Below are 11109 nucleotides of genomic sequence, written 5' to 3'. Positions count from 1 at the left end.
TAAAATTATAATACAGAAAACAATTCTATTTTCAAAATTTGATAGACAAAAACATGAAAGTAGTTATAAACACAATATGACAATATAATTTGTGACTTACAAAGTTGAGAGCAGACATACTGAAAAAAACTATGCATCTGAATATCTTACCAATTCAAAATATATTGTAATTTTAAGAAGATTTTTGTAATCTTCATGATAACCACAAATATTAGAGAAATACAACATAGAAATTGAGAAAGAAATCAGACCATATCACCAGAGAAATCAGTGAGACAGCAAGAAAGATGAAAAAGGAACAAAATGGCTACAATAATAAAACAATGATTAATATAATAATAGTAAGTTCCATTTCAGAATACTTTAAAAATATTAATGGACTAACTTTCCCAATCAAAAGACATATTTCATGAAGAGATTCTAAAAATTGTATTAACAGCATCAACTATATTCTGTGTACAAGAGAATCACTGGATCCAATCACAAAGATAGACTAAAAGCAGGATGGAAAAAGATATTCCATGCAAATGTTAGCCAAATGAGAGCAGAAGTAGTCACTGTGACAAAAGACTTTAAGTCAATCATTATCATATTTTATAAAATTTAATTCAAAACTACAGGATAAAAAAGACATTAAATAATACAAAGGTTCATTCATTGGAAACCTATAAAAATTGTATATGTTGTTTGTGTGTGGATTCCTGTGTGTGTGCTTATACCTGTATCTACATCTACATCACACATCAGGGTTTCCAGTTATACATCTATATCATACATCAGGGTTTCCAGTTTATAAAGCAAACATTGATGACATTGAAGCAAGAAATACACAGTGAACAGAAGACTTGAATACACTATAAAAATCAAATTCAACATGCGTAGAGAACACCTCATCCAACAAAATACACAATGTTTTCAATATTTCAGAAAATATTCTTGATAGAAGACGTTAGGCCATGAAACAAGTCTTAACACCTTTTTTTAAATTGAAATATTACTGCTTATTCTTTATAACCAAAATTGAATAAAATAGAAAATGAAACATTCACAAATATATGGGAGTTAAACAATACACCCTCGAACATGCTTTTCTTCAAGGGTGGGAATACTTAATATTATGAAGATGTCCAGACTACATAAAGTGGTCTACAGATTCAATACAGTCCTTTCCAAATTCTCAGTTTATTTTTGCAGAAATAAAAAAGCAACCCCAGAATTATACAGACTACAAAGAGACCAAGAAGACTCAACAATCTTGAAATATCAAGAACAATATCGGGGGTGTCACACCTCCTGATTTTGGAATACATTGTGAAGCTACAGTAGCTAAAGGAATTTGGTGCTGGCATAAATGCACACAACAAGAACAATAAAACAATAGAAAACTTAGAAATACAGCTACACATGTGTGGTCAAATGAGTTGTTTGCACACCCATGCAGCATTATTGACAAAAGCTGATAGGCTAAAGCAGCTTAAACTTTCTTAAATGAATAAATAAAATTTGGAATATAAAAATAGAATATTGCTCAGCTTTGCAAAATCAGCATATGTAACATATAAAATCAAAATCTTAACATGCTAAATAAAGGCAGTCACAACAAGACAGGTTGTCTGAATACACTTATATGGGATATCTAGAAACAAAAAATAATACTATATTTGACGGGCTGGGCGTGGTGGCTCACGCCTGTAATCCCAGCACTTTGGGAGGCTGAGGCAGGCCAATCACCTGAGGTCAGGAGTTCAAGACCCAGGCCTGGCCAACATGGTGAAACCCTGTCTACTAAAAATTTAAAAATTAGCTGGGCATGGTGGTGCACGCCTGAAATCCCAGCTACTTGGGAGGCTATGGCAGGAGAATCGCTTGAACCTGGGAGGCAGAGGTTGCAGTGAGCCGAGATCACACCACTGCACTCCAGCCTGACAACAGAGCCAGACTCCGTCGAAAAAAAAAAAAAAAAATCAGCCAAGAGGAGAAATACACAAGATGAACCATAAACAAAGTTGGTGTTATATTTATAGAGACAACCATGCACATACATATGTATAATTTAACAGTGATAGACAGCTGGTTAATTCATCTTTGAATTAAACCCCACCTTGATTTAAAGTATATATACAGAGTTGCAAATTGTCATTCAAAATTATAATACATAGGTAAAACAGAAACACAATAAACTGCCTATAAATGTATCCTTACTAAAAACACAGTAATTAGGAATTGCAAGACAAGATAAACATTTACCTATAAAATTCTGTATGCAACATTGATATATCATTATAACACCTTTTTCTAGGTAACTACCGAGTTCACCTGTGATTGTGCACCTATGGAGCGCACATACTTGGAATCATTGATGTCTACTGTATGGCAGTAAAATTTTACAGAAAATGCACTACAGACATTAAGAAAATGCTCTAGTAAAATTTTTTTAATGATTATGTAAAGACAGTAAAGATAATGTGTTACTATTAATATATTGATGCTATTTTCACAGCAAATAAAAAGGCTGCAATTCACTCTTTAGAAGCAAAGAAAAGCATTAGACTTTGAAATAAAGTAAAACCATGTATGTTGTAAAATATGAGTTATATACAATGCAAATATTTTGAAATAATTTTTTGTAATTTATCATTTAGATATAGGTTGAGAAAACAAAAATGTTAATGATTCCTATATGATTTCAGTTAACTGTAACGTACAAATGAACATTTTAATAAATAGGGAGTGCCTGTCTGATTTACTTCTTACATGGTGTGGAAATTATAGCATATTGTTCTGAATGAATCTAAAATAACAGACAAATTTGTAATACAGCAAAATACAAAGTGAAACCATATAAGGAGAGTGACATCAGCAAGGATGTTGGAATAAGGGGATCACTCTTGTTTATCTTCCCACAGCTACAATACTTTTGCAGCCATCCATGGACAAAAGTGCCTTTATGGGAGCTTTGGGATTAGAGAGGGCATTATGATACCCTGTGAAAAACAAAGACTGAGGAGGGCTGTTTTGGGAAGGCAGGCCCTCATTCAGGGGGCAAATCTGAGAACCCCTGATCTTGTCTACAGACTAGGAATTGACCCATCCTACTCAGTCACACTGAGAATCCTGAAGTGACTCTGTAACCATCTCCAATGCCTCCCAGTTATGGTCTGGAATTAGTCCTTCCCATACAGAGAACTGGGGAGAGACATTCATGATAATGGAGGCAGACCTGCAGAATTTAACCTTTCACCTTTACTGTGGCCTCTGAAGCAGGTCTGTGACTCAGTTTCAGCCCTCTTCACCATAGTTTATAGACAGTTCTGCCCACCTAGAGACCCACAAAGGGAGAGAAAACCCTCTCAGGTACTCAGCAGAAGTCACACTTCATCCACACACCTACTATCAGGGCCGCCATATGCAAACCCAGCTTCAGAACCCTGGCCCTGGCATCTGCCCTACAGATCAAAGTTCTGAAAGCAGTTGAGTCTGCTCGAAATAAGAGGAGTCACAATGAAGCCACCTTGTGCCCAATTTTAATGCTTCTATTTTAACATACTAGTAGTCCTAAGTAGAACAATTTGGGGAAAAATATTTTAAAGCCATCTAAATTGAAAAAATGTCACTTTTTGTAGATGACATGATCTTATATACAAAAACCATAAATAGTACACCAAAAACCTATTTAAACTAATAAATGCACTCAATGAATTTTCAGAATATAAAAACAGCATACAAATCTCAATTGTGTTTTTATACCCTAACAACAAACTATCCAATTAAAAGGAAGAAAATGATTTCATTTAAAATAAAATAAAAAACAATAAATTTCTTAGGAACAAATTTAACAACTAAGGTGAAAGATCTTTATGCTGAAAAATAAAATATTGATAAAGGAAACTGGAGAAGACAAAAAATGTAAAGCTATCATAGATTGGAGGAGTAAATATTGTTAAAATTCTACATTATCCAAAATGATCTATAGATTTAATAAACTCCCTATAAAAATTCCAATAACTTGTTTCACAGTAATAGAAAATACAAGCTTAAAATTTATGTGAAATTACAACAGACTTTGAATAGCTAAAGCAATCTTGAGGAAGAAGAAAGCTAAGGATATTATAGTTTCTGATCTTTTTTTTTTTTTTTTTGAGATGGAGTCTCACTCTGTCACCCAGGTTGGAGTGCAATGGTACGATCTCAGCTCACTGCAACCTCTGCCTCCCAGGTTCAAGTGATTCTCCTACATCAGTCTCCTGAGTAGCTGGGATTACAGGTGCTCGCCACCATGCCCGGCTAATTTTTATATTTTTAGTAGAGACGAGATTTCACCATGTTGGTCAGGCTGGTCTCGAACTCCTGACCTCATGATCCACCCACCTCGGCCTCCCAAAGTACTGGGATTACAGGTGTGTGAGCCACTGCACCCGCCCCTATAGTTTCTGATTTTAAATTATATTCAATACTATAGTAATAAAAACAAGACAGCATGTGCATAAAAATGAACACGAAAACCTACAGAACAAAGTAGAGATCCTAGAAAAAAAAAACCTATGCCTATAAAATCAATTAATCTTGAACAAGGATATTGAAAATGCACAATGCAGTAAGTGAAATCCCTTTATTATTTGGAGCTAAGAAAATTGGGTATCCACAAGCAAAAGAATAAAATTAGATGATTTTTCTTACATCATATCCCAAAATTAACTCAAAATAAGGACAAATAAAACACATGAATTCTTAAAAATCCTAAAAGAAAACAAAATGTGGTCAACCTCCTTTATATTGGTCTTGACAGTATTTTTTTGGATCTGACACAAAAAGTGCGCCACAAAGGCAAATATAAAAAAGTTGGACTACATCAAACTAAAAAACTTATAAACAGAAAACAATAAGAAAACTTACAGGTTGGGAGAAAATATCTGCAAACCACTGTTAAGTGGTTAATATCCAAAATATGTAAGGAACTCATACAAATAAAAAACCAAAACAACAATAATAATGACAGTAATGATAACATGATTAAAAGACAGGTAAAGAAATATTTTTTTAGTGAAGACGTAAACTAAGAGTATTTGAAAAGCTGCTCAACATCTTCAATCATGAGGCAAATACAAATAGAAACAATGATGACATATCATTTCACACTTGTTAGGATGGCTAACATCAAAATTCAGAGACATGTATGTTATTCTGATGATGGATACCCTAAAAGCCCTGACCTCACCACCATGCAGTCTATCCATGTCACAGCCCTTGAACTGGGACACATTTACCTGAAAACCAGCCATTTCATCTTCTTTCTCTTTCTTCTCTGAGTTTTTGTCAGGTGAGATTCTCTGGACAAGTCATGGCTGTATGTTGATAATATGCCTTAAAAAGCATCAGTACAACCCCTTTACTTGCTACGACTACAGCTACAGGGAGAAGGAACTAGAAGTGCAAAAAAGTCCACTCTTCCCTGTCCTTTATCCCAGGAGAGAGTCAGGAACAATGAGCTCCTACATAAAGATCAAAATGTGTTTCTCATTTCCTGCTTTCAAGTGTCCTCTCCTATCAAAGACTCAAGCAACTTTTGCTGCAGCAACTGGACTATGGGCTGCACTAACCACCGTATCAAATCCAAGCAGAGCAGATCCTGTGACCTGGAGAAAGGAGCCGGCTGTCCTTCCCTGCTGTAACCTAGAGAAAGGAAGCTGGCTGTCCTTCCCTGGCACAGCTGCACGCAAGGAATTTTCCACCACGCCCACCGGGCAGTAAGTTGAAACATAAAAAGATTAACAAGTTGGCTTATTTTTACTTCTACTCAGAGTGCAGAGTCATCGTAATTTATTGTTTTCTATGTCTCAAATACTCTGCTTTATTTTATTTTATTTTATTTTATTTTATTTTATTTTATTTTATTTTTGAGATGGAGTCTCGTTCTGTTGCCAGGCTGGAGTGCAATGGTGCAATCTCAGCTCACTGCAGCCTCCGCCTCCCGGGTTCAAGCAATTCTGCCTCAGCCTCCCGAGTAGCTGGGACTACAGGCGCACGCCAGCACGTCCAGCTAATTTTGGCATTTTTAGTAGAGATGGGGTTTCAACATGTTGGCCAGGATGGTCTGGATCTCTTGATCTCGTAATCCGCCGCCTTGGCCTCCCAAAGTGCTGGGATTACAGGCGTGAGCACTGCGCCCAACCTGTTTTATTTTTTAGTATGTTATCAAATGAAACATTAGTCCAATTATTAAAATAAATGCTTTAGTTGTCTGAGCAACTGTATTTTGTATCTGTCAAATCCACAAGCCTAACAATTTTACCTTTCTGAAATATCTACCACGTGTTCAAAGTCAGCACGTTACTCCTAGTTCTGCAAGGCACTGAAAGTACATAGAAAGAAAGAGGGGGGAAGCACATTTAAGAAACAGGTTTTCTGCAGGATCACAAGGGTATAACAATTGCCTATAACGGTGTGGCTACTTTCTCCGCATTCAGTCCCCGTGACGAAATAACTACTGCATTTGTGGAAGTCTCTAGGCTGGGTGCTGGACCCTAATTAATGCATTTGAAATCCAGGCCTACACTGTCCCTGGGCTCAGCGACTAACCTTAGTAGAAGCACACATTTCTCAATATGCACATAAGGCAAATAGGTGCTCACGGCAGCCAAACAGAATGCTTTGAAAAGCATTTTCCCAATGAGCCCCCCGCCAGCCCAAACCCCCGCAAACTCCGGAATTAGGAGACATAACAGGTACTTCCACCTCAGAAGCCAAAGCCCTCTGCGACTCCTGCCAAGAAGGGCAGGTTGCCATGCGTGGGTCGGCTGGGCGCGTCCTGGGGCTGGTCTGCCTGACCCGGACAAAACCAGGCGGCGAGCACGCGGCGCTGCATGCGGGAAACCGGAGCTGCGCCTCCTGCCGCCCCTCAGTCGCTAGGCAGGAACCCCAGGAGAGGCTACGGTCCCCTGACCTCCACAGAGGCTCGCCAGGGCCGGCGCGCAGGGGCAGGTGGGCGCGGGGGCTGCCCTGCGGCGCCGCAGCCTGGGCCTCCCCTGGCACCCGTGGTCGGCCATCCGCCGCGTCCGCAGCGGCGCGCCGAGCCTCTCCAGTTCGCGGGCCCTCCCCGGCTCGCTCCCGGCTTTCGCAGACCTCCCCCGCTCCTGCCCTGAGTCCGAGCAGAGCGCAACGCCAGCCGGCGCCTTCCTCCTGGGCTGGGAGCGAGTGGTGCAGCAGCGGCTCGAAGTCCCCCGGCCTCAAGCAGCCCCCGCGACTAGCGCGACACCCTCGCGGGATCCGAGTCCACCCTGCCACCAGCGCCGGGACGCCGCGTGCCTCAGAGCCCAAGGGCTGACCCGGGCCTTCCAGGTGGTCCATCTCGCTCCTACGGCTCCCGACAGTGGCGCTGGGTGTCCCCCATCCCGCAATTCCTACCGGCTGACCCATGTGCGCTGCGCCCAGGTACCCCGCCGGGCAGGGCTGAGCAGCCCGGACCCCGCGCTCTCCTGCGCCCAGATTCAGCGCTGCAGTCGCCAGGGAAAGTTTGCGCTCCGGACTGGCCGCGGCGCCCCGCCTGCTCTGCACCTCTCCTGGCCCACCACGCAGCCCGCGATTCGGGATCCCAGAGGAGAGGGGTGCGGGCTGAGCCGGGGCCACGAGTCCTCTCCCGCGCTCCCGCCCTTTTACCTCACTGTCCCGCCGGGCGCACCCAGAGCTCACCTTGCGTGCCGGCCGGTGGAGGCGAGCCATAGGTGACGGTGCATCCTCCTTCTCCGCCTGCTCTCGCCCGGCTGGCAGGGGCTGGAGGCTGCCAGCGCCAACCTTCCCGGCGCTCCGGGGCGGAGCAGCTCCTGCGCCCTGCGCTACCGCAGCGGCCCTTCAGTCAGCTCCGCGCCGTCCCCAGCAGAGCCCCCGGCGCACCAGCGCCTGCTTTTCCTTCCCCGAGCGCCTCAAGCAGTCTCTGGGCCGCAGGAACAGCCCTCTGAAGAGGCGCTTGGGTAGAGGCCACCAGACACTCAGCAAACGCGCCCTCGGCCCCGCTCGGCTGAGCGGGAGGGCGCAGGGCCCGCGGCTGGACCTGCAAGGGGAGTTCCGGTTCTGCTGAAGTTTCTTTAGGGCCTTCAGCAGCGTCTTCGGCGCCTCCTGTAGTCGCCGCTGTCCTCTTGTAGTGCAGGGATGGGAGGGCAGGGTCAGGAGCCCGGCAACAGAGGCCAGTTTCAAGAGCTTTGCTCCCCTAGGGCCGGCCCCCCCTCCCTGCCCAGGCCTGGGTCCCTCCCGGGTGCTCTGAGGCACCCCCGGACATGCGCATGTCTTAGTCGCTCCTGAAAGAAATTGGCTTGTTGTGGGCACTCTTTTCATCTCATTCATAGACAGGAGTGCATTGCTGCCGGACGGAAAGCCAGGGTCACATGGGACTCCATTAGAATGAAACCCTTACCTAATGCAGTATATATTTGGGGGTTTTCTGAAGTTCCATTTCTTAGCAAGAAGCCTCGGTGACAACGGGAAAGGGCCAGGGGCCAGGGGCCGCAGGTCCGAGAGCAGGTCTGGGGTGGCGCATCTGGGGTGGCGGGGCGGGATTTCCCTAGCAGGGCTTCCACGCCACGTTGGGCACTGCCTCATTAGCCACGCACATGGGGTCTTACTATGGTCATTACATAGGTGTCTTGTCCGTCCGAGTGATGCAGTTCCTGGGAGGTGAGGGTGGCGTTAATGACAGCTGGGTGGCAGCAGGGCCCCTTCAAACAACACAAGCAAGATGGGGCCAAAGCAGCACAGCCCATCGTCTCGGGGTTTCGGGGTCTTGCTTCCTCAGGAGGTGGGGGCCTCTCGACTGTAACACCCAGTGGAAAACGTTCAAGACTTACAGGAAAGCCACCAGAACATGATGGGGAGGTTTATTTACACCACTGTCCCCTTCCTTTTGTGAAACTGCATTGTTTATATTCTCTTTTAACAGAGTCATGGTAAGAAAAGGCAAATTCTTAACTCTCCTCCAGGAAAGATCTTTGACCTTCCAGTGTAGGAAGCCTCTCAGTTTTCCAGTTACACCTAATACAGTGTATTCCAAATCTAAGTTACCCACTAGTACTTCGGCACATTTCAGAAATTCTGAAATTTTCTGAAAAGGAAACTGGTAAGTCTATTCCAGGAGCGGGACATAAGTGTATAAATGTGCAAATATACAGGAAGCATTACTCTGAATACGCGTTTAGCCACATTATTAAATAACTGTTTCCAGTGGTTCTTCACAATATATGAATAAGATGCTCATTTGAAAGACTTTTTAAATTCTAAAATGGATCATTGAACACGTGCATTTCTTCATTTTCTAATCTCTCAAAAGATGTATCACTAAGGTGAAATTCCTTGGTAGTCATTAAATTTTAAAAAGTTAACAACATGGTTTTATGATCAGCCTACTATAATTTTCACCTATTAGGTGGTGGAATTCTAGGCTTAGAATTACCAGCGACAGCTGCTCGCCTCTCAGGATTAAACAGCATAATGCAAATCAAAGAGTTTGAAGAATTGGTAAAACTTCACAGCTTGTCACACAAAGTCATTCAGTGTGTGTTTGCAAAGAAAAAAAATGTAGACAAATGGGATGACTTTTGTCTTAGTGAGGGTTATGGACATTCATTCTTAATAATGAAAGAAACGTCGACTGTGAGTATGTTCTTTTGGTGGATTATGTTTAAAACTTCCATGTTTTTTGGTACACTTTCTATCAGTTTTATGTCAACACAACACATATCGTCTTGGTAAGAATTTCATTTTCAGTGTCAGAGCCTAAAATAGCTGGAGGTGGAGAAGCATGAGTGGAACATGTGCCAGAGAGCGCCCACCCTGTCCCCCAGTCAGGGGCAGGAACTGAGATGGGTGGGTGTGTTTGCATGGGTGGGTGTGGCAGAGGTGGCTGAAACGTGAATGCAGTGTCATCCTATAAGTGAGACAATGTGTTATTCGTCTTTCTGTGCTTGGCTTATTTCACCAAGCATGTTCTCCAAGTCCATCCATGCTGTCAAAAATGGCAGGATTTTTTTATTCATTAATGCTAAATAATATCCCACTGTGTGTGTGTGTGTGTGTGTGTGTGTGTGTGTGTGTGTGTGTGTGTGTATTTTTTTTCATTTCTTTATCCATTTATCCATTGACAGACATTTAGGTTGTTTCTATTACTTGGCTATTGTTAAAAATGCCCAAATGGACATAACAGTGCAGGTATCTTTTCCAGATATTGATTTTATTTCCTTTGGCTATATCCCCAAAGAAATGGGATTGCTGGGTATAGAGTGGTTGCCAGGGGCTGGGGGAAGGAGAGATGGGCAGATGTTGGTCAAAGGGTATAAAATTTCAGTTATGCAAGATGAATAAGTTCTGGAGATCTACTGTTCAACATTGTGAATATAGCTAACAACACTGCGATGTATACTTGACATTTGCTGAGGAGGTAGATCTTATTGTTCTCACCACACACATGAAAGAGGGCAGCTCTGCGAGGTGATGGGAATGTGAATGAGTTTGATTTTGATGGCAAAGTATACATATATTAGTCATCAAACTGAACACCTTAGAAACCAGATTTTACATCAATGAATGGTTGAATGAATAGATCTGCACTTCTGGATTTCTTTAAAAATGGGAAGACACTCCATAGCTTTAGCAACGCTGGGCACCCACCCATTCCCACCCTCCTGCACCGCCTGCATTCCACAGATACCTGACATGGGTCCTTAGAGGAACGTGATCTATCCTTTTTCACACTTTGCCTCCTTTGTGTAATTAGGAAAATCGAGGCAAATGGGGCTTTTTAAAGGATTTTAATTTTTTTCTAATTTCATTGTATCTATTTTGTCTTCACTAGTGGCTTATTTACTGTATCTGTATTTTACCTTATTTTATTTTGTGATGGCTCTAGGGTTACAGCCAGCATCTTTAACTTAGTATAGCCTACCTTTATTTTGTTTATTTATTTATTTATTTATTTTTGAGAAAGAGTCTTGCTCTGTCACCCAGGCTGGAGTGCAGTGGTGCGATCTCGGCTCACTGCAAGCTCCGCCTGCTGAGTTCAAGCCATTCTCCCCCTCAGCCTCCCCAGTAGCTGGGACTACAGGCACTCACCACCATGCCCAGCTAATT

The sequence above is a fragment of the Homo sapiens genome, chromosome 15 (assembly GCF_000001405.40).
Source record: "Homo sapiens chromosome 15, GRCh38.p14 Primary Assembly".
In the NCBI taxonomy this organism is placed as follows: Eukaryota; Metazoa; Chordata; class Mammalia; order Primates; family Hominidae; genus Homo; species Homo sapiens.
Note: the sequence above shows the minus strand (reverse complement) of the source record.